The following is a 27,652-nucleotide window of genomic DNA, read 5'->3' on the forward strand; positions in this document are numbered from 1 at the left end:
GCCCAATCTTGGCTCATTGCAACCTTCCCCTCCTGGGTTCAAGTGATTCTCCTGCATCAGCCTCCCCATTAGCTGGGATTACAGGCATGCACCACCACGCCCGGCTAATTTTGTATTTTTAGTAGAGACCGGGTTTCACCATGTTGGCCAGGCTGGTCTCGAACTCCTGACCTCAGGTGATCCACCCACTTCAGCCTCCCAAAGTGCTGGGATTACAGGTGTGAACCACCACGCCTGGCCTCATCATTGTTTTTAATACCTGATGGGGGCTGATGATTTCAACCCCTGAGGAAGGATAACGCAGTGTGACAGGGCAGGGCATATGTGATCCTTGTTTCTTGTTATTTAGACTCGAGTTTCCACCTCCCACCTGCAAGGCCCAAGACTGACGTCAGCGCTGACGTACCAGATGGCCCAGGTTGCTGTGGCCACGCCCCCTGTGGTGTCTGTCCTGGCAGTTGTGGTGCTGTCAGCCAGGGTCACAGTGCTTCCATCAACGCAACGGGATCAGTGTTGTGATAAGGCAGCTGCAAAAAGCGGCAGGTAGGCAGCCACCTTCGCCTCACCAAACTCGAAACAACTCACTTGAGTGAGTTGCATCAAACCTTTCTAAATTTCTCATTCTAGAAGTTGCTGAGTTGTTCTGCCATGTGTTAACTTTTTTTTCTTATCAGTAAAATCTTTTATTTGGTTTATATTTCAAATGTAATTTAAAAAGTCTATAAGACAGGAAATTCGATAATATGAAAGCAGGGAGAAACTAAGTCGCACCATTTAGCTAAGCTCAGGGACAACGTTCATTTATAATAAATCAAACATTTGATTTTTTTCATGCCATCAGTTGTACTTAAACATATCCATCATATTTCAGTTGCAAAAGATGGTGAAGAACTCAAGCTGAAGAGGTGTCTGCTGAATTTTGTTGCTTCGGTAGGAGCTTTTCACCATCAGTTTTTAGAAAGTACGCATGACTCTCCTTCTGTTGATATCTCTCTTGATTTGGCAAAGAGTACAAGGAGGACCGCAAAGGGTTGCCATATAATCATCACAAATAGATCCAGGGATGCCATATCACGTCCTGTAGAGAGTCCTCATTGCGACGCTTGCTCCACACAGCATTCATTCATATCAGCTGCAACTTGACACCCAAGGCACGGGAAACAAAACGTGCCACAGAGGCAGACTCCACAGTCGCTGAAGCAGTCACACATGCCTGTCTGCCAGTTGGAGTTCTGGGGTGCCGGACCGAGACCGACTCCCACAACGACCATCGGCGCCTCATGTGTTAATTTTTTAAGACACCTAATTAGAGCCTCATTCCTTGCACCTCCCCCTTTTAAGCAAATGGAGCAGAGGCCGCTGTACCCCCCAGCAAGAGCTGCTTGCCTCTATTAAGGGGAGATGCGGCATGGGCGTTATTTCTCCTTTTTAAGGCAGCAGGCATTTCCTTTACCATCATTGCCAGGCAGGTTACTCCTCTGAGCAAATCAGCGGCAATGATGAGTGTGAGATGCAGATCCTTGTCCATGCGCACTTCGTGTGTCCTGCGTGCTGTCTCTCTGCTGTCACCACAGGGGGCCAGATTGGCTGTGCAGCCTCTGCACATGCAGCAGCTCCGAAAGCTGAAACACCACCAGCAGTAAAAAGCTGTGCAGCCCTCAGCCGCTCCAGGCCTGCTGCTGCACAGCGGAAGGTAAGTGGCCGCTGGGCTTTGTGGGAGCTGCATCTCACACTCATCATTCAGGGCCCTTAGGCCAGAGTGGGGCTGGACTGAGCCCCTTCCTTTTGGAGGCAGCCGTTAAACAGAGCTGAGGAGGCTCCCTGCATGGGCTTCTGGAGGTGGGGAGGGGCCGAGTGTCAAGGAACTCTGACCCTGTAATTTTTACATATATTTGCTCTCTAGGGGAGAGCTTGCTTTGCTGTATAGTATAATTTTTCAAAAATATTTACAATGATTTCTGTGAAAAATCACTCTGACAAGGACTTCTATTTCTGGTAATATGGTAGATGAGAGAACCTGAAAATCTATCTCAACAAAACATCTAAAAATGCCAGATTTTCAAAAAGTGCCAGATAAAATATATAAAACCGTGAATGAGTCTGCAGGATAGTGAGTCTAGAAACCAGGCGAGGGCTGAAGTCTAAGGAGGTAGTTCTGTGCTAAAGACACTCTATGGCCTGGGTCCCCATGGACCCAGATGACCTAGAACTTTGAGGTAAGTTTGGGGAGCAGTCTGGAGAAGCCTTGGGCCCAGGGAGGGGCAGAACCAAATTGGAGACCCCCATATAAGGCTGGGCTCACAGAGGGATACAGCAAACACTACCAGGAAATGATGAAGTGGGCAAACTACTACTCTAAGCTTCACTGCAGAAACAGTATCTCACTTGGCCATGGCTGTGGATGGAACATCTTTAAAAAGTCTCTCCTATAAATTTATGGCCCCTGGCTAGCACTCTCCATCACAGGTATAGGGCCAAAGTTCATATTATTTACATGTTCAAAAGAACTGCAAACTGTGACTTTTAATTGCAAGCATATCTGGAGCTATAGTGCCCCCAGGCCTCTGGTAGAAAGAAATGTATGTCCTTGCAGGAGGAACCCCCAACCCAGGCCTCAAGGAATTCCAGCCAGCAGGATCCCTAGACTATAAGCTCATAGTGGAAAATCACAGCACACACAAGAGAAGGGGCCTCAGAAGTTATGGCCAAAAGAAGCACACCTGCAAAGACTCAGATGTTAGAATAGGAAATGCAAATATGTTTAATGTGTTTGAAGAAACAAAGGAGAAGCTAAAAAGCATAAATAAGCAAGAGAGTATCAGAGGCTAAGCAGATAATAAATGAACCAAATAGAACCTCTAAAAATGAAAAATGTAATAATTGAAATTCAAAACTTAATGGAAGTAATCTTGATCCCTACCTCACACCCCATAGAAAATTAACTCAATGAATCATAGACCCAAACATGAAATTCAAAACTATGAAACATAGGAAAAAAGTTTTGTGACTATAGGTTAAGTAAACATTTCTTAGATATGACACCAAAAATAGAGCCTATAAAAGGAAAAAAATTGGCAAGTCATACTTTAATAAAATTAAACCTTCTTGCTATGTGAAAACCATTGTTTAGAGAATGAAAAGACAAGTTACCAGGAGAAAACCTTTGCCAGTCATGTAGCTGATTAAGGACGTGTAACCAGAACATACAAAAAACTGTCAAAGCTCACTAATACAAAAACAACTTATTTTGTACAGTGGGCAACAGATTTGAGCAGACACTCCACCAAAGAAGCTCTCTAGGTGGCAAATAAGCACTGTCCTCTGGGAAATGCAAATAAAAATCACAATGAGAAACTACTGCACACCCGTGAGAATGCCTTAAAAAAAAAAAAGACAAGACCAAAACCAAGTGTTAGTGAGGGTGTGGAACAACAGAAATTCTCATACCTTGTTGGTGGGACTACAAGATAGTGGAGCCCTCTGGAATCAGTTTGGCAGTTTCTTATAAAATAAAACAATCATTTACTGTATGACCCAGCAATCCTGCCCCTCATTCTTTATACCAGAGAAATGAAGACATATGTCCACACAATAACCAAATACTGTAACCACAATGAAAAATGATGCAAGTGTTCACAGAAGCTTTATTCATTTACCTAAAACTGAAAGCAACCCAGACACTCTTCAACTGGCCAATGGGTAAACAAACGGCAGCCCACCGGTTCCATAAAACAGCACTCAGCAGGAGACAGGACTGGGCCACTGATGCTGGGGGCAGCGGGGATAAGCCTGAAATGTCTTATGCAGAGTGAAAGAGGCCACACTTAGAAGGCTGCAGTTTTTGTTTTTATATGACATTCTGGAAAAGACAACACTATAGCAACAGAGAAGAGCTCTGCAGTCACGAGGGGCTGGGGCAGTGGAAGGACTGACTTTCAGAGGGACAAGAGGGAATTCTGGGGGGCTGTGGAAAGATTCTGTATCTTGATGCTGATGGTTGTTACATGGCTGTGTGCATTGATCAAAACTGAAGTATGCATCAGAAACAGCGACTTGGACTGTATGTAAATTATACTGCAGTTTTTTTGTTTGTTTGTTTGTTTGTTTGTTTGTTTTTGAGACGGAGTCTGGCTGTGTTGCCCAGGCTGGAGTGAAGTGATATTGGCTCACTGCAAGCTCCGCCTCCCAGGTTCACATCATTTTCTTGCCTCAGCCTCCCAAGTAGCTGGGACCACAGGTGTCCACCACCATGCCTGGCTAATTTTTTTGTATTTTTAATAGAGACAAGGTTTCACCATGTTAGCCAGGGTGGTCTCGATCTCCTGACCTTGTGATCTGCCCGCCTCGGCCTCCCAAAGTGCTGGGATTACAGGCGTGAGCCACCGTGCCCAGCCTATACTGCAGTTTTAAAAAAGTTAATGGAAGGGTTAAACAATACATTAGAGAATTTGCGAGCTACAGAGAGATCTGGAGAAATAATCATGATAGCATGAGACTAGCAAACAAGACAAAGAAGACAGGCTGGCTGCAGTGCTCAGGCCTGTAACCCCAGCACTTTGGGAGGCCAGTGTGGGTGGATTGTTTGAGCCAAGCAGTTCAAGACCAGTCTGAGCAACAGAGTGAGGCCCCGTCTCTGCAAAAAAAATAAGAAAAGAAGAGGGAGGGGTGAGAAGATCTCACATTCAACTGAGTTCCAGAAGAGAATGAAAAAAGAAAATATTCAAAGAGTGGATGGCTGAGAATTTTCCAGAATGGGTTTAATTTACCAGTCTAAAGACTGAAGAAATACAACAAGTCCCTAGCAGGATACAGACAAAGATACCTGTGCCTGACACATCTGGGCAAACTGTGGCACTCAAAGCAGATGAGAAAACCATGAAAGAATCCAGGAGGAAAACAGATTTCTCACGAAGGAAAGGCGATTCCATGGACAGCTCCCTTCTTAGTAGGAACTGTGGAAACCAGAAGTAGCTTTAAAGTGCTGGGATAAAACTGTCTTTCAAGGATAAGAGTGAAAACAAAGACATACTCAGACAAAAACTGAAAACATTTACCACAAACAAACTCACCTTAAGCAGGCAAATGGCCCTCGATGTGGAAAGCAAAGCTCAGGGGACAGAGGGTGTACTGAAGAGTTGGCGGTGATGATCCCTGGAGGGTCCCCCCAGGGCCAAGAAGGGGGCTGGGAGCCATGCATGGTGAGACTGGAGTGTGAGCTTGAGGACAGCAAGAATCAGACGACCACCCCAGGCTGCCAGGGTGTGGCTCAGCCTATCTGCCCCTCACGCTGAGCTGCACAGATGCAAACACCTTCCAAACACAGTCACGAGGCCTTAGGAACGTCTCCAGAGCTTCCGTCATCATCCGGGTCTCCTCGTCAGCTGCTGCCTGGTGAGGGCTCTGCCAGAGGACAGCCCGCCATCAAGGCTGAGGAGGCCGCCCCCACGTGCCACCCACGAAGCTGCCTGCAGGCCGGGAGGCTTCTCTTTTGGCTTCAGCCACATGTGAAGGAGAACCTGTCAAGCTCCGGCTGATGAAGTCTTCAGAAGGGCTCAGAGTCAAGCGGCAGAACTCCTGGTGCCATCTGCTTAATTACAGGCGCGGGTTTTCCTCGGTGTTTTGATCTATAAATACGAAAAATAAGAACAGCACCGGTGCTGAATCTATGTCATCCCATGAATGGATGAACTGGTTGAAAAAAAAATAGCCTGATACTGGGAGCCAAAAAGGCCGAAGGGATCGTGACCAACTCAGCATTCCACTGGAGGCTATATGATCAATCAGCAAACTGTTTATCCTGAATGTAGGATGTGAGTAAAACTCACAGCTGCGCCTGCTGCCAGAAGGTTTGCTGAGGGCGGTCACTCCCTGGCACTGGGGTCCTTGAAGTTATCTACTGGGAAATCTAGCGCCTGTTGTTCGAAGGATGCAGTCTCGCAAGCCTGCTGTGAACCAAACGGCGGACTGCCGATTACCCGACAATCACTGCACTTTGTCGCGATCTCTTTTACCAATAAATACGGAGGGCTGTGTAAAGCTCTATCTCTTTTACCAATAAATATGGAGGGCTGTGTAAAGCTCAGGGCCCTTGTCCACTAGAGGCAAGGTGCCCCCTGACCCCTTCTTTCAAATATACTCTCTTGTCTCTTGTCTTTTATTCCCACGTTCGCCCCCTTTGTTCAGTCCACCAGGGATTGAGGGTGGTTACACGTGGCGCCCTGAACAGCGACAGAATCGGGCAGTTTACAGCCTGATCCATCTCACTGGGGTTAAATTTCACTTTTTGTATTTAGTTATTACCATAGTTTGTAATATGCTTATGTTATGTTGACTATTTGCATACCAATACTAATTGTAATGATCTCTCAGTCGGGATCATTGTTTTTGAACGCCTAGAGCCTTGTGATCAATTTTCGTACACATTTCTGTTGCACAGAAGTCTGTGGGAGCTGTCAAAGGATTCCAAGCATAAAATACATTAGGACTAAGTCTGCGGGAGAACGGAATGGAAATACAAAACCAGAATAAGGAGCGTTGTGGAACGTGGGTTGTTAAAGAGCAGCTTGGTTGTGTGGCATTGAGGCGAGGAGGCGGGGAGTGGCCGCCCACGGAGGGTCGGGCTCCTCGGAAGCAGTTTCCTGACTTGCATGGTAGTCCCTGCGGGCTCTGTTCTCATAGCCCAAGGCACAGTTTTGAACAGGAGGCACATGGTGTTCAAAAGCCACTGGTTCGGAATATGAGCAGGGCTTTCCCCTTTTGCCTGCTGGCCCCAGAGCTATGGGCTTGGTGGGCGGTGATTCTCTCCCACCTGATGGGAAGCGCTGTGACCTGGACCAGGAGCTGTAGGCCCCACCAAGAAGAGAACTGCGAGCAGCAGCAGGTGCATTTTAGAAGGTTCCTTGAGCGGGAGCAAGACCTCCTTTTCTGCCCAGTCACAGGACAGTGGTACAGAGGCCTTTTCCCTGTCATTTTTGCTGATGGTAGAGTCTCCAGGTGTGGTCCAGGGGAGCTGCTCCCCCAGGGCCGCAGCCCAGAGCAGCCGCCACCCCCGGATGCCTTCCATGAGCCCCGCAACCCCCAGGCCTTCCTGGAGTGGGCGCCTGGTGTTGCCTCCCACCCCTGCCCGGCGCAGCCCCTGGGAGCAGGAGCCGTGGGGAGGGCTGGACTGCAGTAAGGACGCCTCGTGGGATGTGCCAAACCGCTGCGTGGAGCCTGGGCTGACTTCTCTGGATCTTGGTGCAACTGGCGTGGCCCTTCCAGGAAGCCGGGCCACCTGGCTCAGAGACGCCAGACCCTGGCCGGCAATGGGGCTGCCAGGGGCGGGGACGCTGGAGGAGCTAGGGGTGTGGGCCACTGTGCTGCCTGCCCCGGCCTGGCGGCCTCTCCGTAGCAGAGCTGAGGCTGGGACGCAGGTGGGGGAGCCTGGATGCGCCTCCTTCCTCAGCCACGGGAGGATGAGGTCCAGGAGCGCAGCGGGGCCCACGGGGGAGCGCCTTCGGGTGCGGCTCGTCGCTGCCACCCGTACAGTGGTTTCTTTTTATTTCCCACGCCTCCCCACAATGATGTGGACGCCATCAGTGTCATTGGCAAGGGAGGGCCTTGTGCCACCCTCCAGAGACGTGGCTGCCACCCTGACCTGGGCGGAGTGTGGGGGTGGTTCTGCCCCCCTCCCCCCCGCCTGACGGGGGCTCCTCCTGCGGAGACCGGGCCCAGCTGAGCCTGTGGGTCCACCTCTTGATTGCCCAAGTTTGCATCTACCCAGTGACAAGGACCATCTCCTTGGAGCCGGGGCTGATGGGGGGGGCTATGACAGTTTGAGTGGGGGTGGCTGTGGGCCTTCCAGACCCGGGACCCTGCCTGTTACCTGGCAGGTGGACTCACTCTGCCTTCCTTTTTTGTTTTTTTTTTTTGAGACAGAGTCTCGTTCTGTCACCCAGGCGGGAGTACAGTGGTGCAATCTTGGCTCACTGCAATCTCCACCTCCCAGGTTCAAGCAATTCTCCCACCTCAGGCTCCGGAGTAGCTGGGATTACAGGCATCTGCCACCACACCTAGCTAATTTTTGTATTTTTAGTAGACATGGGGTTTCAGCATGTTGGCCAAGCTGGTCTCGAACTCCTGACCTCAAGTGATCCACCTGCCTCGGTCTCCCAAAGTGCTGGGATTACAGGCATGAGCCACTTGCGGCCAGCCTTGCTCTGCCTTCCTGACAGTGCAGACCTCGCTCCTGGAGGGCCAGACCCGTCCGACTCGCCCTAGAGTCTCTCAGCAACTAGAATGCACAGGGCCATGCGCAACACTCATGTCTGGAAAGGTGAAGGAGGGGTTGGCCGCCCCTCCATGGCTCTGCCGTCTTCCAGCTCTTTCTCTAAGGCCTGTCCTTTGAGTTCATAGATGAATACCCAGCAAGTCACAGTTCAGGCCTAGCAGCCAACCGGCCAACAGCCAAGAGCAGCCTACCACTGCAGCCCGCCAGGAGAGTGGCCTAGCCTCCGTGGCCCACCGTCCGCGGCCCACCAGGAAAGCACTGTTTCTGCCATCCCCCATGTCTCAGGTTCCCAAGGCCACGGGGACCGCGCCAGTGCAGGCCTACATGCAGGTAGGGGCAGCTCACACTGTGCCCCTCCCACATGGCCACACGGGGTCAGGCCAGTGGCTGCTGTGCTCCTTGCTGTCATTATCCTACTTTCAAGACCTACCCCCTTCCTCCGTAGAGGTAAGGAGACGGGAATGTGTGGACAGCTCAGGCCCACACTGCACATTGAAGGTCCCTCCTCCCTATTCTGTGCTCCGTGAAGGTCGCAAAGAGCCCTCGAGGCCCAGCCACGGACGCCTGCCTGAGCCCTCAGCAGCTGGTGGCCCAGCAGGTGAGTGCCCACCATCCTGCCGCCGGCATGGCCCCGGCACACCCCTCAGCCCCCACCCCACCCCCTCTCGCCTGGTCCCCACCGTCACCAACAGCTCTGTCCTCCTCTTGCCCCTCCCACCTCTTCCTTTGTGTGCTCAGCTGCTGTCCCTCCCGCTCCTCTCCCCTCTCACATCTCGAAACTCTGGGGAAGGATCCAGGCCCCCGTGCCACTGTGGAAGGGCCGGGACGGGCCTGCCCAATGCACTGCAGATGCCCCGGTGCCCACTCCTCCTACCTCCCCGAGTGTGCCCACGGTGCCCGCTCCTCCCACCTCCCGAGTGTGCCCACGGTGCCCGCTCCTCCCACCTCCCGAGTGTGCCCACGGTGCCCACTCCTCCCACCTCCCCGAGTGTGCCCACGGTGCCCCTCCTCCCACCTCCCGAGTGTGCCCACGGTGCCCACTCCTCCCACCTCCCCGAGTGTGCCCACGGTGCCCACTCCTCCCACCTCCCGAGTGTGCCCACGGTGCCCGCTCCTCCCACCTCCCGAGTGTGCCCCGGTGCCCGCTCCTCCCACCTCCCCGAGTGTGCCCACGGTGCCCGCTACCTCCCACCTCCCGAGTGTGCCCACGGTGCCCACTCCTCCCACCTCTCCGAGTGTGCCCACGGTGCCCACTCCTCCCACCTCCCCGAGTGTGCCCACGGTGCCCACTCCTCCCACCTCCCGAGTGTGCCCACGGTGCCCGCTCCTCCCACCTCCCGAGTGTGCCCACGGTGCCCGCTCCTCCCACCTCCCGAGTGTGCCCACGGTGCCCGCTCCTCCCACCTCCCGAGTATGCCCCGGTGCCCGCTCCTCCCACCTCCCGAGTGTGCCCACGGTGCCCACTCCTCCCACCTCCCCGAGTGTGCCCACGGTGCCCACTCCTCCCACCTCCCGAGTGTGCCCACGGTGCCCGCTCCTCCCACCTCCCGAGTGTGCCCCGGTGCCCGCTCCTCCCACCTCCCGAGTGTGCCCACGGTGCCCGCTACCTCCCACCTCCCCGAGTGTGCCCACGGTGCCCGCTACCTCCCACCTCCCGAGTGTGCCCACGGTGCCCGCTACCTCCCACCTCCCGAGTGTGCCCACGGTGCCCACTCCTCCCACCTCCCCGAGTGTGCCCACGGTGCCCGCTCCTCCCACCTCCCGAGTGTGCCCCGGTGCCCGCTCCTCCCACCTCCCGAGTGTGCCCACGGTGCCCACTCCTCCCACCTCCCGAGTGTGCCCACGGTGCCCGCTCCTCCCACCTCCCCGAGTGTGCCCACGGTGCCCGCTCCTCCCACCTCCCCGAGTGTGCCCACGGTGCCCGCTCCTCCCACCTCCCCGAGTGTGCCCACGGTGCCCGCTCCTCCCACCTCCCGAGTGTGCCCCGGTGCCCGCTCCTCCCACCTCCCGAGTGTGCCCCGGTGCCCGCTCCTCCCACCTCCCGAGTGTGCCCCGGTGCCCGCTCCTCCCACCTCCCGAGTGTGCCCACGGTGCCCGCTCCTCCCACCTCCCGAGTGTGCCCCGGTGCCCGCTCCTCCCACCTCCCGAGTGTGCCCCGGTGCCCGCTCCTCCCACCTCCCGAGTGTGCCCACGGTGCCCGCTCCTCCCACCTCCCCGAGTGTGCCCACGGTGCCCGCTCCTCCCACCTCCCGAGTGTGCCCCGGTGCCCGCTCCTCCCACCTCCCCGAGTGTGCCCACGGTGCCCGCTCCTCCCACCTCCCCGAGTGTGCCCACGGTGCCCGCTCCTCCCACCTCCCCGAGTGTGCCCACGGTGCCCGCTCCTCCCACCTCCCCGAGTGTGCCCACGGTGCCCGCTCCTCCCACCTCCCGAGTGTGCCCCGGTGCCCGCTCCTCCCACCTCCCGAGTGTGCCCACGGTGCCCGCTCCTCCCACCTCCCCGAGTGTGCCCACGGTGCCCGCTACCTCCCACCTCCCGAGTGTGCCCACGGTGCCCGCTCCTCCCACCTCCCGAGTGTGCCCACGGTGCCCGCTCCTCCCACCTCCCCGAGTGTGCCCACGGTGCCCGCTCCTCCCACCTCCCGAGTGTGTGGCCAGGCCCACATCTTATGTCTGCGAACCCAGCAGCACTGAGCCACTATCAATCCCCGATAAATGGCAATCATCGTGAAGCAGCCTTGTGGTCTGGGGTAAATACCAAGGTTCTTGGTCTCATGGCCAAGGAGATCGAGGTCGCAGACAGACACACACACACACAGTGAGTTTGGAGCAGAAGTTTAATAAGCAAAAAGGAAGAAGAGCTCTCCGTTGCAGAGGGGGCCTGAGCGGGTTGCTAAGTTGTAGTAAAGATGTCAAGGTTTCTTTTTTTTCTGTCGCCAGGCTGCAGTGCAGTGGGCTGATCTTGGCCCACTGCAACCTCCACCTCCCGGGCAAGTGATTCTCCTGCCTCAGCCTCTTGAGTAGTTGGGACTCCAGGCACACGCCACCACGCTCAGCTAAGTTTTGTATTTTTAGTAGAGATGGGGTTTCACCATGTTGGCCAGGATGGTCTCGATCTCCTGACCTCAGGTGATGCGCCTGCCTCAGCCTCCCAAAGTGCTGGGATTACAGGTGTGAGCCACCGTGCCCGGCCTGTCAAGGTTTTTACAAATGGGCTAGTGACGAGGGGTTAGAGGAGGGATGTCTTGTCCTCCCAGGGCCCAGGGTTTTAGCTGGGACAAGGTGTGCTATTTGTATAGAGAGTTTCTGTCAGACTCAGTCTGTGCTGCTCTGTGACACTTTTCTGCGAGGGTCTCTGGGTCTGCTCCCAGACATCTTCTTGGGGTTACAGGCACCCCTCAGTCTGCTTTTAGCTTCCCTTAGTGCACCTAAGGGGACGGGAATGTGCTTATTAGGGTCCACTGTTTTACTGGGGCCCATTGTGGAAGTGTGAAGTTTGGTGATCACCCAGGAGACACCCCCCGCACTCCTGTGCCCGAGCTGTCTCATCTGTGATTCACAGTCTGCTCTTTCTGGCTGCTTGTCGTGAGAAGTGATTTTGAACCCCGAGGTTAGAAAGGGAGCTATTTTTGAGCTGCTTTTTGTTAAAAGGCAAATTTTCTGCTGGGGACTGGCTTTACCCCGTCTACCTAAATCATTTCTTTCTGCCTCCTGTAACAGTCGCCTTTTGTGTTCTGCTGGCATTTGTTTGAACACAGTCCACAGGTTCAGTGGTTGCATCTCTAATCAGCTGCCAGTCCCCATCCCAGACATTCTTTGCATCTAAGCTGAGGTCTGAACTGAGTGGGGTGGGCTGGTGTTTCCATCCTCACAACTCCAGTGAGCCGGGTGTGGCCGTGGCCTGCGTCTCCCTGGCGGTTAGTGATGTTGGCATCATCCACCTTTTTCAAACAAAGCACTGGACTGAGAGAATTCACACACTGTATCCACCCAGTCCATGGTTTTTAGTAAAAGGTTTATAGAGGTGAGCAGCCATCACCACACACAACCTAAGAACATTTTCATCATCCCCAAAACAAACCCACACACTGGCCACTGTGTCCCCAGCCCCAACCCCCACCAACTCCCGGCCCCGGCACCCTTCAATCTCTGGCTGTGCCTGGGACACTCCCTATAGCCGGAGCCTTCCTTCAGTTAGCGTCAGGTTCCGGGTTCATCCACGGGGTGCCTATGCTGGTGCCTCACTCCTTTTTCTCTCCTGGTGTGGATTTCCCACGTTTTATTCTCCATTCATCAGCTGACGGACATGTGGTTTCTAGTTTTTGGCTACTGTGAACAGTGCTGCTGAGAGATTTGTGTACGTTTCTGTGTGGATGTAGGTTTCATTGATCTGGGGTGTACAAGGTGCATAGGAGAGGAAGTGCTGGGTCATGAGTGACTCTGTGTTTAACGCCCCAAGGCTTTGCCCAGCTGTCTCCACGTGACCTTCCCACCAGCAATATGTGAGGTGTCCACTGAACAGTCACAAGGTTCACAAATCTGGGGAGGAGAGCTTTTTTTTTGACGGAGTCTCACTCTGTTGCCCAGGCTGGAGTGCAGTGGCGCAGTCTCCGCTCACTGCAAGCTCCGCCTCCCGGGTTCACGCCATTCTCCTGCCTCAGCCTCCCGAGTAGCTGGGACTATAGGTGCCCGCCACCACGCCCGGCTAGTTGTTTTTTTTTTTTTTTTGTATTTTTAGTAGAGACGGGGTTTCACCATGTTAGCAATGATGGTCTCTATCTCCTGACCTTGTGATCCACCTGCCTCGGCCTCCCAAAGTGCTGGGATTACAGGCATTTGCCACCGCGCCCGGCAATTTTTTTTTTTGAGACGGAGTTTTGCTCTTGTTGCCCAGGCTGGAGTGCAGTGGCGCAATCTCAGCTCACTGCAACCTCCACCTCCCGGGTTCAAGCCATTTTCCTGCCTCAGCCTCCCAAGTAGCTGGATTACAGGCATGCACCACCACGCCTGGCTAATTTTGTATTTTTAGTAGAGACAGGGTTTCTCCATGTTGGTCAGGCTGGTCTCGAACTCGTGACCTCAGGTGATCCACCCGCCTTGGCCTCCCAAAGTGCTGGAATTACAGGCATGAGCCACCATGCCTGGCCAAGAGCTTGATTTTTAACATTAGCTCAAGGTTAATGCCCCCAACTCTCAGCAAAAGCATGACGGGTGCCCGCGTCCGTCTGGGAGTACTTTTCACCGTTTTACTAAGGCTTCATTGCCCGCAGCCATCCTGACCTCCACACTCTGAAAGTGACAAGCCCTGAAGTCTCCAGTCGGGGCAGGTGCTTGAGCTCTGACGCCCGGGCTGCCTGGCGCAGAGACCACGTGCTTGGGGAGGAAGGCTGTGTCCACTGGGGGATTCCTTTCCTCACATACAGGATCCAGTGATCAGCACTGCTCTGGAAGGAGGGTCAGGGTGGTGAGCGTTCAGTCCCTCCGGCCCTCTGAGCCCCAGCCTAGGCCGCCCTCTGCTTGCGCTCTTCCTGTGGAGGAAAGGGGAGGGCTCAGCACCACACACTCTGTCCCCTCATCGTCTGTGGGGCCCCGGGCTCTGCCCCTGGAACCCTGAGGACAGGAAGCCCTGTGCATGCAGAAACCAGGCCCTGGCCCCGCTGACAGCCCTCCCTGGTGCCACGTGTTTCCACCACTGGTGCCCAGGGGCTCCCCGCCCTTGGGCCAGAAGCTCGAGGACAACCTGTGTGACCCTCTGTTGCCTTCTCGCTTTCCTCTTTTTCCCTCTTTTCTCCACGTGTGGTGACGACGCCCTCTCTGCAAACGCCCTCCCCAGAGGGTTTCATGCCGGACTCTGGTGCCCTTACCTTGACAGACTCCTCCAGCTGGGACAGGGCCTCCTCGTACCGAGGAACCAGCGGCTGCAGCAGCTTGCTGGAGAGCTCGTGCCGCTGCAACTCAGGTGCCCCAGCTTCAGTTAGCATTCGGAGGAATCTCCTCTCCTGGAGAGAAGCTCATGGTGGAAGGGGGTTCTTGGGCCAGCCCCTTAACACCCACCAACAGCAGAAACTCCCAAGACCCTCGCAGCCTCACCTGCACTTTCAGGAGCAGTGTGAAGGCCTGTCCAGTTTTCCCAGCGCGAGCTGTCCTCCCAACCCTGGAATCAAACGCAGCTATCTCCAGACTGGCCCCTGAGCCTTCAAGAGTCTGACGGAACGACAGCTTCTCTCCACACCAACCCCACCCCACGCCAGTCAAGACGGTCCCACATCAACGCCCAGGAGCTCACAAAGCCCCAGACCCCCCAGTGGCCGCTGCGCCAGCGCTCACCGGTGCACGTAGGTTCTCAGGTACTGGGGGGCGTCGTAGTTCACCACCAGCTCCACACCCTGCACGTCGATGCCTCGCGCGGTGGCGTCCGTGCTGATGAGCCTGCCGGGACACGCAGCATTGTGGGCCCGACGTGCCAGGAGCAGGGGCCGTGGCAGCACCGGCCCTGCGGGGGGCAGCTCAGGCCTTTCTGGGAACTGGCTGCCATGGGGCTGGGGCACAGGAAGCCAATTTGCAGAAGGAAGCACCTTTTAGAGAGCCCCAGGCTGACCCTGGAGTGGGCACCCCCACCCCACAGAGGCCTTGCCCCTGCCCAGGAACTCACAGCTGGATCTTCCCCTGTTCAAACTGCTTCAGGATCATCCTCCTCTGGCCAGGCCCGTAGCGCGAGGAGAACTCAGCCACGTCCACACCCCCAAAAGCTTGCACCAGCAGGAAGAGCCTAGGCAGAGAGAAGGCTGCGGCCAAGTGATGCTGGGACCAGAGGCCACCTCTGCCACCCCCGCCCAGCCGGGGCCTCACCTGTGGGAGTTCTCTCGGGAGTTAGTGAAGCAGAGAACCCTCGAGAAGCCCATCTCCAGGACCAGGTGCAGGACGACCAGCGGCTTAGAGCTGAGGCTGCAGGGCACGTAGTGGTGCTACAGGGACGGCAGGGGGTCGGGGTGGAGGTGAGGGTTGGTTAGGGGCCCCAGGTTCCCAGTGCAACCCTCTGCCCACACGGTATCCCACTCACCGTGAGCCCAACAGGAAAGGCATACTTCCCCGAATCCCCGTCCCCATCTGTATCTTCCAGGCCCCTGTGTGCTAGCCCTGTGGAGAAAAGCCGGGGCTGGTGGAGGCCCAGCTGCTGCAGCTTTTCAGGGTTCTGGGTCAGAGTAGCTGAGAAGAGCAGCTTCTGCAGGGGCATCTGGGGACAGCAGGTGCTGGAAGAGAAGGGGGTGTTGCTGGCACCCTACCAGTGGCTGCCCCGAACCTCCAGGGAACAGGATTCCTCATGCTACGCACTGTAGAGACTGCCGCAGACCAGGAGCAAGGTGGGTCCAGCTCACGTGACAGTACGATGCGGTTCTGTGCACCAGAGCTCAAGCCACCCTTATCTCTGGGCATTAAGGAAGGAGAGCTGTGTGCAGAGGACTCTGCTCAGGGGAGGCCAGCACCTGGGCGTGCTGCTGGATACCTGGCGGCTGTCACAGCCTGGGCCTGCCTTCGCTGGAGCAGGGCACAGGGGTCCGCGGGGTCCTCGCTCTGGAAGGCGGCCGCCACCACCCGCGGCAGCCAGGACTGATGCATGCTGTCAATCATCCGGTCAGCCTCGTCGATAATCTGCAGGAGACAGGGAGCCCGGGACTGGGTGGCGCGGCCCTGAGCTCAAAGCCCAGGCCCCTGGGGCGGGGACCTACCAGGAAGCGGAGCTGCTGGAGGCTGAATCCTGGGGTCTGGTCGATGTGGTCCACCAGGCGGCCGGGGGTGGCTACCACGATGTCAGCCAAGCAGCGGTACCCATCAGCTCTACAGACCAGAGAGCAGCTCGAGAGAAGGAAGCTTTCTCAAGGGCTTCCGGATAGCAAGACGCTGCCTCACCCCACAGCCCCGACTCCACCCCACATGGGAAGGGGGCCGGTGGGAGCTCCTCCTCTTCACGGGAACAGGTGGTTAAAGATGGTGGCCCCTCCTCTGCTCCCACGGTGCCTCAGGCCACCTGCAGGGCTGAGCAGGGACCCCCTGAAAAACCCGCACCCTGACACAACCTACGTTTTCTGGACGAGGCTCTCCTGCTCCTTGGCCAGAGACTTCTGTCCCGTAACCAGGGAGACTCTCAGAGGTGTGGCATCTGTGTAGATGTTGAAAACTTTGCTCACCTGCAGGAGAAGTCTGTCACTGGCCTGGAGGTAGCTGGTGTCCACCTACTGCAGCAAAAAGGACCCCAGATCTAATCTGGGTCCCCCAGGGGCTGATCGCTGTGCACTCAGCAGGGAAGCTGAGGCGGGCGGTGCCACGCTCCAGGTCTAGGGTCCACATACCTGCTGGGCCAGCTCCTTGGTGGGCAGCACAACCAGGGCACGGATGTGGCAGACCACTCTCGAAAGCAGGGCCTGAGGGGGAAGGAGCGCCTGCGTCAGCAAGGCTGTTACCTGTCCTCTGCACACCCGCTGTAGAGAAAGGGGACCCTCACACAGACCTGCACCACAGGGATGACGAAGGCCAGTGTCTTCCCACTGCCTGTTGGGGCAGAAACACAGAGGTCGCTAGGCCGGTAGCCACCTCTGCCCACCAGAAACCCACAGGCTGCGCTCTCCAGGAGGGCAGGAATCACAGCTGCCTGGACTGGATGAGGAAAGGCGAGAGAGAAGTCGTGTTTACGCCTAGGCCTAGGCCTGCCGCTTCCCTGCCTGTGACCTCTGGGCTGGGCTGCTCTGCTGGAGGCCTGGGAACCGCTCCCCAGAGGGATGGCACCAAGGCCCAGAGGAACGCCAGCCTCAGGAGACCCAAGTGGGAACCATGAGCTTGAGAGTGCTGAGACCACACTTGGCACCGATGTGGCAGGGACGCCTGACCCACGGCCACTCACAGCCTTGTGTGTGGGTGCCCAGGGAGGTGTTCCCTCAGCTGCCTGCCCGGGGCTGGGGCACCTGGAAAGTAGGACGAGATGCCGTGTGCCCGCAGCTGCTTCTGCAGGTCAGGATGGACGTCAGGGATGTCCTCGATAGGAACCAGGTCTTCGGTGACATTCCTTCTGACACAGTTAGGCTCAGCCAGCCACCTTGGCAGGAAAGGCTGGACCTGCCATCAAAAAGAAAGAGAGGCCAGGTGAGCGCTTTCCAGGCTCTCGCGCAGAAGCCCACGGTGGAAAAAGCTAGGGGAGGGAGGCTGGGGAAACCTCTGTCGTCTTCAGCTCCTTCTCAGCCCCAGGATGCGCTTTCCATACAGCCTTCAGAAGTTAAACAGTAAAAGCAGATGCCACTCCCTGAGCAAACTCACTCTGTAGCCTCCCATCAACCCACAGTGGCACCCACCCTCCCGCAGCCAGGAGGTCCTGTGACCTGGCGCTCGCCTGCCCCAGCCACGCCGGCGTCCCTGCCTCGAGGCCTCTGCCTGGCACCCCCAACCCCCAACCTTGACCTGGCTTCAAGTCTTTGCATCCCAACTCAAAGAGAACCTCCTCCACCTGCCCTACCTAAGGTGCCCGAGCACTCTGTCAAACTTCTCGCTTTCTTCACCTGTCTCGCCGGAAATCTCTTTACCGAAAACCACACGTGCTAAGCAAAAACACCAACGGTCAGGAGCTTGCAGAACGGCCTCTGACTTACTCCTGAGGCGGTGAGCGCACAGCAGGAAACCCCGCACGTTCACGCAAACACATCTTGCAGAACTGGCGCGGCGCGGCGGGAGGACAGGGGCAAGCCTAGCAGAGGAAACGGGAGCTCTGCACGTGCAGGATCCAGACCCCTAGGCGATGAAACTGCAGACCTGGCAGCGAGGCGCGGCTGTGACCCGGGAACATTCGCTGAACGAAATCTTCCGGGGCGACCGCCGCACTTAAGAATCCGCGCAGCCTACCCTCTCACGCCGACCACCCTCCCGCCCGCCGAGGCTCACCTTCGGCGCCTTCCTCTTCCCGAACCCCCCCAGCACCAGGCCGGGGACCAGGGGTCCGGCCGCCTCCTCCAGGGCCGGTCCATCTGGGGCCGCCTCGGCGCTGGCGCTGGTGCTGCGCTCCCCCGGCGCCTCCTCGCTGCTCCCTGCGCTGGGCTCCCCTGGCGCCTCCTCGCTGCTCCCTGCGCTGGGCTCCCCTGGCGCCTCCTCGTTGCTTTCTGCGAGGCAGACACCCACCCGGCAGCGCGTCAGCACCGAGTCGCCGGCGCCCCAGAGGGAGCCCGCTCGCCCCGCGGCCCACCTGCGCCCGCGTCCTCGCCGTCCGCCTTCCGTCGCTTTCCCTGCGGCGCCTCCGGGCTCCCCGGCTCCGCGTCGTTCACCCGCCGCCGCCGCCGGGGCCGCCGTCGCCTCCTGGTCGCCGGCTCGGTCGATGCAGCCGCCTCGGTCTGCGCGGGCTCCCGCTGCTGCTGCCGTTCGCGGGCCCGGCTCTGCAGCCGCTCGAGCAGCGCGCGGGCCCTGCCGTGCGCCCCGGCCTCCGCGCCCTCCGGCCCCGCCGCAGCTGCCGCATCGGGGCCCGGGTACCGCGCGACGTAGAACAGCGCCATGGCCAGCCGCACGCCTGGGACTCGGGCGTGGCGCGCTGCGATGACGTCGGCGGCACGCCTGCGACTCGGGCTCCGCGCAAAAGATGGGGTTGGGGTACGGCGCGTAGAGATGACGTCGGGTTCTACGCGCAGTGGTGACGTCACGGGAGCGCCGGCGGCTGAGAATCCGCGTTGTTCCGTGTTGGGGGCGGCATGGAGCGGGAGCCGGGCGCCGCGGGAGTTCGCCGGGCTCTGGGCCGCCGGCTGGAGGCGGTGCTGGCGAGCCGCAGTGAGGCCAACGCCGTGTTCGACATCCTGGCCGTGCTGCAGGTGGGCCTGGCGGCGTCGCAGGGCCGGAGTCGCGGCACGGGAGCGGGACTTGAATGGGGGGCTGCGGCGGCAGGTCCCCAGGAGGTTCCGAGACGGCGTTGGGGGGTCAGGGTGGGAGGCGTGTGGGTCACGGGTCGGGGGTGACGGGGCTGGCGTCCCGAGGGGGAAGGGAACGGGTTGGGGGCAGCCTAGGCAGGGGCGAAGGTGACAGTTGGCGGCCGGGCACCCTGCCGCCGCCTCTCCTGCAGTCTGAGGACCAGGAGGAGATCCAGGAAGCAGTCCGCACGTGCAGCCGTCTTTTCGGGGCCTTGCTGGAGCGGGGAGAGCTGTTTGTGGGCCAGCTGCCCTCTGAGGAGATGGTCATGACAGGTGAGCCCTGGAGGGCCCCGGGGCTGCTCTTCTCTTTCCGTGGGTCGGAGGGAGGCTTTGTCACCATGGGATGAGCGCCCCCAACCCTGGCACAGGCCGTGCAGGCTGGTGGGAGGACGCACCAAGCCCACCGTGGAAGATGGATGGTGGCGTTGGGGCAGGGGTGACATGGGTGCCCTGCAGCTGAGTGTAGATGAACACTGGACAAGGTACGACTTTTTGTGTGCTTTGCACCCCTTTTGTAATTTGATGTTGACTGATCCTGACACGGTCGCTTAAACTCGGAGCTTCCTTTATGTCCCCATCCTGGGGACGTCAGGTCTTGGAGTAAAGAGAGGGGATGTGGATCCTGCTCCTGGCAGCTTGGCTGGGGCAGTCCTGGGGTAGGAGGTGCTCTTCCTGTTTGCAGGGCTCAGGGAATGTGCTGGTCTCAGCACAGGTCTGGGGGCCTTAGCGACCTGTTTCCACCTGCGGAGGCTGAGTAGAAGACAATGGGAGGGTGGAGCCAGGCCTGAGATTTTGGGCTGGGCCCAGGGTGGCGTATGTGGGCCTCACGTGGGCTGACCACCCTAACCTGTCTGCAGGGTCCCAGGGAGCCACACGGAAGTACAAGGTGTGGATGAGACACCGCTATCACAGCTGCTGCAATCGCTTGGGAGAGCTCCTGGGCCACCCCTCCTTTCAGGTCAAGGTGGGTCATTGGGCTGGCCTCATCCTTGTCCATCCCCTGCACCCCAACTCCCAGGTTATCCACAAAGCAGAGGTCTGGGGCTCCCACAATTGTCCAGGCAAAGCTGCTTCCTTCATGGGAGCATCACCCTGTGGGTGTTCAGTCCCATTCAGAAACATGGCTATCGAGTCCTGTAGTGAATATTGAAGACGCAGAATCCGTGTTCATTTCCAGTGGCATCCACGGGGATCTCTGTGTTTGCATAGAGCACGCACACCAAGCCTCGTGCCAGTCCACAGATGTGTTTGCTCAGATCACACTGTGGTCTGCAGCCATGGGAATGCATTATGAGCTTTCTTAAAATCTGTAGTGAGGAATAACTGAGGCACAGTTTACCGTTTAAAGCTGAGAAGTTAGCATCTGTTACTGTGTTGTGCAGTGGTTGCCGCTATCCCAGAACATCTTTATCGCCCCGAAAAGAAATCCTGTACCAGTTACCATCGCTTCCATATCCCGCCCCTTTCCACCCCCAGCCCCAGGCAGCCACTCCTGGATCAGTGGTTACTTCCTGGATCAATGGGTTTGCTTTTTTTAGACGCTCCTCATAAGGGGGATCATACGGTATGTGGCTTCTTCCACTCATCGGCGTGTTCGAAGTTCGTTCTCTTTGTGGCTGAGTAGCAGCGCGTCGTATAGCACAGCACGTATCGTTCAGCCGCTCGTAGGTTGCTGGGCATTTGCGTCGTTTCCACCTTTGGCTGTTACGAACAGCGGACTGTGAACGTTCGCGTACAAACTCTTGTGTGATGTTTCTTTTGCTTGAATATGCCTTATCAGTGGAATTACAAGGCCACACAGCAGCTGTGTTTTTAATGTTCTGAGGAACTACAAGACTGTTTTCCATAGTAGCTGCGCTATCTTACCCTCCCCCTGGCAGCATTTGAGAGTTCCATACTCCACATCCTCGCCAACACGTCTGTCTATAATTATAGCCGAGCTGCAGACTTTTAAATGTTGGGGAGATACCACGTGAAAATAACCAGTTTCCACCTTCTCAGAAAGAAATAATCAGTTCTGTCAACACGGGGTCTAAGTTTGTTCATGGCTGCGATTGGCTGGAGGGAGAGTCAGAGACAGCTCTGAGACAGCCGTGTGCTCCTGTCATCCCGCACGAGGCTCTTTTGCTTTGTGGTGTCATTTGCCTGGGCCCTGAAAGCACTGAGTTTGCCACCCCGAGATGAGAGCTTCCAAGCCTGGGTCTGAGTTGGGCACCATGCTGGCATCACACGCCTGTGTTTTCACAGCTGTTCCCAAGGGTTATGGTGGCATTCCCGTGACACAGGTGACGAGAGAGCAGTCAGGTGGCCCATAAAGCAGACCTGGGCTGTGTACCCTTCCCCCGCCAGACTCTGTCGTGAGCACTGGATCTCTTTAACTAGAGATCTTGTCATCTCTACGTCATGGGTGGGACACGGAAGCCCAGAGTGGCATCTGGTGGCGTGTGGAGCAAGAGAAGGCCCGGCCGCCCTTTTCTCAGCTCTGGGCCTAGATGGGAGGGGCTCCCTGACTGGGCTGAGCTCTGGGCCCATCCGTGGGGTGAGGGCATCACAGCCACCCTGCACTGCCCCCTTCCCAGGAGCTGGCCCTCAGCGCACTCCTGAAGTTCGTGCAGCTGGAAGGAGCGCACCCCCTGGAGAAGTCCAAGTGGGAAGGCAACTACCTGTTCCCCCGAGAGCTCTTCAAGGTGAGGGCCTTGCTGGGGACTCCCAGAGGGCCTGGCTGGCTGGCCAGATCCCAGGATGGCCCCGTAGTGGGGGCGGGGCCTGCTGAGCTGAGCCTGGCTGTTGGCTGGGACACTCCTGTGGCTCCTGTGGCCCACCCAACCAGGAGGAGTCTGCCTGGGGGGCTCGATGGGGCAGGGCTGCCTGCCTGGACCTTGCTGGCGTATGCTGGGCCGGGCAGGGCTGCTCACTGGTCCTTGCCCCTAGTTGGTGGTGGGAGGCCTGCTGTCTCCTGAGGAGGACCAGAGCCTGCTCCTGTCCCAGTTCCGGGAGTACCTGGACTACGACGACACCCGCTACCACACCATGCAGGCAGCCGTGGATGCCGTGGCCCGGGTCACTGGCCAGCACCCCGAGGTGGGTGATGGGGTCCTGTCGCCAGCATCATGCTGTTGCCTCCCAGGGAGGCAGGGACTGGGGGGCGGCGTCCAGGCACTCAGGCCAGGCTCCGCAGGTGCCCCCCGCCTTTTGGAACAATGCCTTCACGCTGCTGTCTGCCGTGAGCCTGCCCCGCCGGGAGCCCACCGTCTCCAGCTTCTATGTGAAGCGGGCGGGTGAGTGTGCTGAGAGTCAGGGGCGGACAGGGCTGAGCCTTGGTCTGCCTCCCCTGCGGGTCAGGTGACCTTTGCCCTCGCTTTCCCTGCAGAGCTGTGGGACACCTGGAAGGTTGCTCACCTGAAGGTGAGTTGCTTCTGGAGAGCCGGGCACCCTCCCGGGTTTGGGGGTGTGTGTGGGGTGCATGTGAGACCCCATGGAGGCTGCCGCCTTCCTCACCAGAGGAAACTCCCAGGGTACAGGTGGCAGCTTGCACGGCCACCAGGTCACTCGAAGTGTGGGAGGTGACGAGACCTGTGAACTCGGGACCCTCCCTTGGGTCAGAGGCCACCGCCGCCTCTTGGAGTCAAGCCTCTGGTGCCACCTGTGGGCCCCGTGGGCTGTTTTGGGCGCAGCCCCCCTCTTGGCCATGGTCTTGCCAAAGCTGCTTTCTTGGCTGTTCTGAGACTCCAGCCTCGAGGGCAAGGCGTACCTGACTTGAATGGGGACAGGAAGAAGGAAGGCAGGGTCAGAAAAGTGGAGAGCAGGCTTGTGTTGGCTCAGGCTGGGCTTCGGGGTGCCCTGGCAGCTGCTCGGGCTCTGGTCTGGGGTGGGGAGGGCGGCGAGTGCAGTCTGGACCCCGTTGCAGGAGCACAGGAGGGTTTTCCAGGCCATGTGGCTCAGCTTCCTCAAGCACAAGGTAGGGGCCAGGCCGGGGAGGGGGCGGGGGCGGCATCCGGGTCTCCCCCAGGGCGGAGGCCTCACCCCGACCCGCCGGCCCCCGCCCACCCGCCCCTCACCCCCACCTGCCGGCCCCCGCCCAGCTGCCCCTCAGCCTCTACAAGAAGGTGCTGCTGATTGTGCATGACGCCATCCTGCCGCAGCTGGCGCAGCCCACGCTCATGATCGACTTCCTCACCCGCGCCTGCGACCTCGGTGAGTGCCGCCGCCTCGCTCACACCACACCCCTAATCCCCTCGGTGAGTGCCGCCGCCTCACTCCTACCACACCCCTAATCCCCTCGGTGAGTGCCGCCGCCTCACTCCTACCACACCCCTAATCCCCTCGGTGAGTGCCGCCGCCTCACTCACACCACACCCCTAATCCCCTCGGTGAGTGCCGCCGCCTCACTCCTACCACACCCCTAATCCCCTCGGTGAGTGCCGCCGCCTCACTCCTACCACACCCCTAATCCCCTCGGTGAGTGCCGCCGCCTCGCTCACACCACACCCCTAATCCCCTCGGTGAGTGCCGCCGCCTCGCTCACACCACACCCCTAATCCCCTCGGTGAGTGCCGCCGCCTCGCTCACACCACACCCCTAATCCCCTCGGTGAGTGCCGCCGCCTCGCTCACACCACACCCCTAATCCCCTCGGTGAGTGCCGCCGCCTCGCTCACACCACACCCCTAATCCCCTCGGTGAGTGCCGCCGCCTCGCTCACACCACACCCCTAATCCCCTCGGTGAGTGCCGCCGCCTCGCTCACACCACACCCCTAATCCCCTCGGTGAGTGCCGCCGCCTCGCTCACACCACACCCCTAATCCCCTCGGTGAGTGCCGCCGCCTCACTCACACCACACCCCTAATCCCCTCGGTGAGTGCCGCCGCCTCACTCACACCACACCCCTAATCCCCTCGGTGAGTGCCGCCGCCTCGCTCACACCACACCCCTAATCCCCTCGGTGAGTGCCGCCGCCTCACTCCTACCACACCCCTAATCCCCTCGGTGAGTGCGGCCGCCTCACTCACACCACACCCCTAATCCCCTCGGTGAGTGCGGCCGCCTCGCTCACACCACACCCCTAATCCCCTCGGTGAGTGCCGCCGCCTCGCTCACACCACACCCCTAATCCCCTCGGTGAGTGCCGCCGCCTCGCTCACACCACACCCCTAATCCCCTCGGTGAGTGCCGCCGCCTCACTCCTACCACACCCCTAATCCCCTCGGTGAGTGCCGCCGCCTCGCTCATACCACACCCCTAATCCCCTCGGTGAGTGCCGCCGCCTCACTCACACCACACCCCTAATCCCCTCGGTGAGTGCCGCCGCCTCGCTCACACCCCTAATCCCCTCGGTGAGTGCCGCCGCCTCGCTCACACCACACCCCTAATCCCCTCGGTGAGTGCCGCCGCCTCGCTCACACCACACCCCTAATCCCCTCGGTGAGTGCCGCCGCCTCGCTCACACCACACCCCTAATCCCCTCGGTGAGTGCCGCCGCCTCGCTCACACCACACCCCTAATCCCCTCGGTGAGTGCCGCCGCCTCGCTCACACCACACCCCTAATCCCCTCGGTGAGTGCCGCCGCCTCGCTCACACCACACCCCTAATCCCCTCGGTGAGTGCCGCCGCCTCGCTCACACCACACCCCTAATCCCCTCGGTGAGTGCCGCCGCCTCGCTCACACCACACCCCTAATCCCCTCGGTGAGTGCCGCCGCCTCGCTCACACCACACCCCTAATCCCCTCGGTGAGTGCCGCCGCCTCGCTCACACCACACCCCTAATCCCCTCGGTGAGTGCCGCCGCCTCGCTCACACCACACCCCTAATCCCCTCGGTGAGTGCCGCCGCCTCGCTCACACCACACCCCTAATCCCCTCGGTGAGTGCCGCCGCCTCGCTCATACCACACCCCTAATCCCCTCGGTGAGTGCCGCCGCCTCGCTCATACCACACCCCTAATCCCCTCGGTGAGTGCCGCCGCCTCGCTCATACCACACCCCTAATCCCCTCGGTGAGTGCCGCCGCCTCGCTCACACCACACCCCTAATCCCCTCGGTGAGTGCCGCCGCCTCGCTCACACCCCCAACCCCCACCCCGCAGCACCTCTTCCCCGATCCCACTGCCTCCACCCCCCACTCCCCTGCCCTGCATGTGGTCTCCAGCTTTGTGTCCGTGGGGGCTGTGGGAGGGGACAGCAGGGGCAGAGGCCACACTCCACAGACTTACACTCAGTGTGGGCAGGGGGTAGGGTGGGAGCGAGGTCACTGCAGCTCCAGCCTGTGTCTGTCTGTCTGCAGGGGGGGCCCTCAGCCTCTTGGCCTTGAACGGGCTGTTCATCTTGATTCACAAACACAACCTGTGAGTGTCACCAGGGGTGCAGGTCTTCTTCCCAGTCTGCCCAGCCCTGCTCCTCTGTCCCCTTCCCACCCTGCCCCACGGGGTCCCCGCTTTCCTCACAGGCCATGGTGTTGGAGTCCCTGGGCGGGAGGAAGGGGCGCCGAGTGAGACCCTGGCCTTGGAGGCCTCAGTTCCCGGGCCCTGCTCCATCCGCTGCTCCTTCCCCCCGGCCCGCAGGGAGTACCCTGACTTCTACCGGAAGCTCTACGGCCTCTTGGACCCCTCTGTCTTTCACGTCAAGTACCGCGCCCGCTTCTTCCACCTGGCTGACCTCTTCCTGTCCTCCTCGTGAGTACCAGGGCACCTGGCTCTGCCCTGCTCTGTGCGGCTGCAGCCTGGGGCCAGGGGAGGGTGGTGGGGGCTAGCAGTCCGGGCCCTGTCTCACAACCACTGCCCTGCCCAGCCACCTCCCCGCCTACCTGGTGGCCGCCTTCGCCAAGCGGCTGGCCCGCCTGGCCCTGACGGCTCCCCCTGAGGCCCTGCTCATGGTCCTGCCTTTCATCTGTAACCTGCTGCGCCGGCACCCTGCCTGCCGGGTCCTCGTGCACCGTCCACACGGCCCTGGTGAGTTGCGGGGCCCTCGGAGGCTGGGCTGGAGCTGGGGCGGGGGTGCCTGGTGCTGTGGACGGCAGACAAGGGCCCACGTCTCATTCCTAGAGTTGGACGCCGACCCCTACGACCCTGGAGAGGAGGACCCAGCCCAGAGCCGGGCCTTGGAGAGCTCCCTGTGGGAGCTTCAGGTGAGGGCGCTGCTGCCACACCCTGGGGCCTCCCGAGCCATCCTTCGGCCCCTCAGAAAGCCCAGCTCCCCGTGCCACCTCCCGCATAGCCTCATGTTGCGTCCCCAGCTGGCCACCTGGGTTTGTGGGTGCTGGGTGCTTGGCCTTCTCACGTGGCTCCGTCCCGACCCCGCCCACTCTGGTTGGGAGCACAGGGAGGCCATGGCTGGGGGCACAGGGCGGGGGCCTGGGGCAGCTGCCTCTTAACGGCCCTACTGCCCCAGGCCCTCCAGCGCCACTACCACCCTGAGGTGTCCAAAGCCGCCAGCGTCATCAACCAGGCCCTGTCCATGCCTGAGGTCAGCATCGCGCCACTGCTGGAGCTCACGGCCTACGAGGTGCGGAACTGGGCCAGGGTGCGAGGGTCTGGGCCACGGGGCGCTGAGCCAAGCCTGAGAGCCGCCGTGCTTTGTGCTTTGCAGATCTTTGAGCGGGACCTGAAGAAGAAGGGGCCCGAGCCGGTGCCACTGGAGTTTATCCCAGCCCAGGGCCTGCTGGGACGGCCGGGTGAACTCTGTGCCCAGCACTTCACGCTCAGCTGACCCTGGCCCACCTGTGAATAAATCTCAGCTGACCCCAGCCCACCTGTGAATAAATGTTTTTGCAGGAGAAAGGCTCAGGGAGTGTGGACTGGGGCGGCTGGATGCCTCTGCCAGGCCGAGGGCCTCACATCTGCCTGAGCCCACCAGGCACATGGCAAAGCGAGGCCCCTGCCGACTCCACAGCCTGGGAGGGGATGGTGGGGAACCTGAGGCGTGGTCTTTCCCAGGGCCTCCGGCCCACCAGTGTCACCGGTCACCCAGCCTCCCTCATCCCCTGGCCCCAGTGACCTCCCTGTTGGCAGAGCTCGGGGCCTCTGCTGAGGTTACACTCCAGACACCTGGGAGGGAGCAGGGTTGGGGGGGTTCTCTCTGCCTGGGTCAGTTGTGGTGGGAGGTGTATGGTGGTGTAGACGGGTATGGTGTGTGTGGGAGTGAGGGGAGGTGGTGTGAGTGGGGGGTCAGTGTGACTGGGGGGAGTTTGGTTGTGAGTGGGGGTGTTGGTGTGAGGGGAGAGTTGGTGTGAATGGGGGGGTGGTGTGTGTGGGGGGTGGGTTAGGATTAGTGTGAATGGGAGGTTGGTTTGAGTGGGGGGTGTTGGTGTCAGTGGGGGGTTGGTGTGAGTCGGGGGTTCCTGTGAGTGTCAGCATCCCACGCTGGCTGTGTCCTGCCGATCTGGCCTTCGTTCTGGGAGCCCCGCGAGGCCCCGGGTGGATGCCGCGTGGAGTTCTGGGTGGATGGTGCGTAGAATTCCGGGT

General features: G+C 59.2%; 2 protein-coding genes and 2 pseudogenes across 13 annotated transcripts in view, besides 5 other annotated features; 2 read left to right on the top strand and 2 right to left on the bottom strand.

Annotated features, from left to right (window-relative positions):
- Positions 1-836, top strand: part of EP400P1 (EP400 pseudogene 1) — a 42,058-nt pseudogene extending 41,222 nt beyond the window's left edge. The window contains exon 10 of the transcript NR_003290.2: positions 350-836. The product of NR_003290.2 is annotated as an EP400 pseudogene 1 (transcript). The remainder of the gene's footprint in view (positions 1-349) is intronic.
- On the bottom strand, positions 682-7,063 carry LOC107987169 (uncharacterized; annotated as a pseudogene). Its single transcript, XR_007063616.1, has 3 exons — positions 6,854-7,063; positions 5,287-5,400; positions 682-1,388 (listed from the first exon to the last, which is right to left on the bottom strand). The product of XR_007063616.1 is annotated as an uncharacterized LOC107987169 (transcript).
- Positions 1,642-2,142: an enhancer, noted in NCBI's record as "H3K4me1 hESC enhancer chr12:132611691-132612191 (GRCh37/hg19 assembly coordinates)". NCBI's record gives its function as "activates a minimal SCP1, AML or CMV promoter by ChIP-STARR-seq in primed H9 embryonic stem cells {active_cell/tissue: H9 hESC(primed)}" and the evidence as "EXISTENCE:reporter gene assay evidence [ECO:0000049][PMID:30033119]".
- Positions 7,064-11,089: 4,026 nt separating the features above from the next.
- Positions 11,090-18,815, bottom strand: DDX51 (DEAD-box helicase 51). Of its 2 annotated transcripts, NM_175066.4 has the most exons (15): positions 18,489-18,815; positions 18,191-18,405; positions 17,224-17,374; positions 16,773-16,918; positions 16,615-16,686; positions 16,346-16,452; positions 15,994-16,102; positions 15,771-15,916; positions 15,327-15,516; positions 15,116-15,231; positions 14,919-15,035; positions 14,594-14,695; positions 14,357-14,420; positions 14,131-14,265; positions 11,090-13,794 (listed from the first exon to the last, which is right to left on the bottom strand). In NM_175066.4, the coding sequence occupies exons 1-15, from the start codon at positions 18,790-18,792 to the stop codon at positions 13,768-13,770; spliced, it is 2,001 nt and encodes a 666-aa protein (NP_778236.2). In that variant the 5' UTR covers positions 18,793-18,815; the 3' UTR covers positions 11,090-13,767. The 2 variants fall into 2 exon arrangements, with proteins under 2 accessions (NP_778236.2, XP_011536558.1); XM_011538256.2 differs by lacking the exons at positions 11,090-13,794; positions 14,131-14,265; positions 14,357-14,420; positions 14,594-14,695 and having other exon boundaries at positions 14,960-15,051.
- Positions 16,901-17,806: an enhancer, noted in NCBI's record as "H3K4me1 hESC enhancer chr12:132626950-132627855 (GRCh37/hg19 assembly coordinates)". NCBI's record gives its function as "activates a minimal SCP1, AML or CMV promoter by ChIP-STARR-seq in naive H9 embryonic stem cells {active_cell/tissue: H9 hESC(naive)}" and the evidence as "EXISTENCE:reporter gene assay evidence [ECO:0000049][PMID:30033119]".
- Positions 18,406-18,605: a silencer, noted in NCBI's record as "silent region_5112". NCBI's record gives its function as "represses an Ori minimal core promoter by ATAC-STARR-seq in GM12878 lymphoblastoid cells {active_cell/tissue: GM12878}" and the evidence as "EXISTENCE:reporter gene assay evidence [ECO:0000049][PMID:35858748]".
- Positions 18,676-18,725: a silencer, noted in NCBI's record as "silent region_5113". NCBI's record gives its function as "represses an Ori minimal core promoter by ATAC-STARR-seq in GM12878 lymphoblastoid cells {active_cell/tissue: GM12878}" and the evidence as "EXISTENCE:reporter gene assay evidence [ECO:0000049][PMID:35858748]".
- Positions 18,736-19,035: an enhancer, noted in NCBI's record as "active region_7375". NCBI's record gives its function as "activates an Ori minimal core promoter by ATAC-STARR-seq in GM12878 lymphoblastoid cells {active_cell/tissue: GM12878}" and the evidence as "EXISTENCE:reporter gene assay evidence [ECO:0000049][PMID:35858748]".
- NOC4L (nucleolar complex associated 4 homolog) lies at positions 18,953-26,964 on the top strand. 9 transcript variants are annotated; one of them, NR_183058.1, is made up of 15 exons: positions 18,953-19,101; positions 19,350-19,470; positions 20,055-20,161; positions 21,777-21,884; positions 22,129-22,278; positions 22,376-22,475; positions 22,568-22,602; positions 23,105-23,155; positions 23,291-23,391; positions 25,477-25,537; positions 25,754-25,864; positions 25,980-26,140; positions 26,234-26,316; positions 26,580-26,693; positions 26,778-26,964. NR_183058.1 is itself a non-coding variant. In NM_024078.3 (15 exons), the coding sequence occupies exons 1-15, from the start codon at positions 18,985-18,987 to the stop codon at positions 26,895-26,897; spliced, it is 1,551 nt and encodes a 516-aa protein (NP_076983.1). In that variant the 5' UTR covers positions 18,953-18,984; the 3' UTR covers positions 26,898-26,964. The 9 variants fall into 9 exon arrangements, 6 of the variants coding, with proteins under 6 accessions (NP_076983.1, NP_001401620.1, NP_001401619.1 ...); NM_024078.3 differs by having other exon boundaries at positions 23,280-23,391; NM_001414691.1 differs by having other exon boundaries at positions 23,340-23,391.
- The last annotated feature ends 688 nt before the right edge of the window (positions 26,965-27,652 follow it).

This window comes from Homo sapiens, chromosome 12 (assembly GCF_000001405.40).
Source record: "Homo sapiens chromosome 12, GRCh38.p14 Primary Assembly".
NCBI lineage: Eukaryota > Metazoa > Chordata > Mammalia > Primates > Hominidae > Homo > Homo sapiens.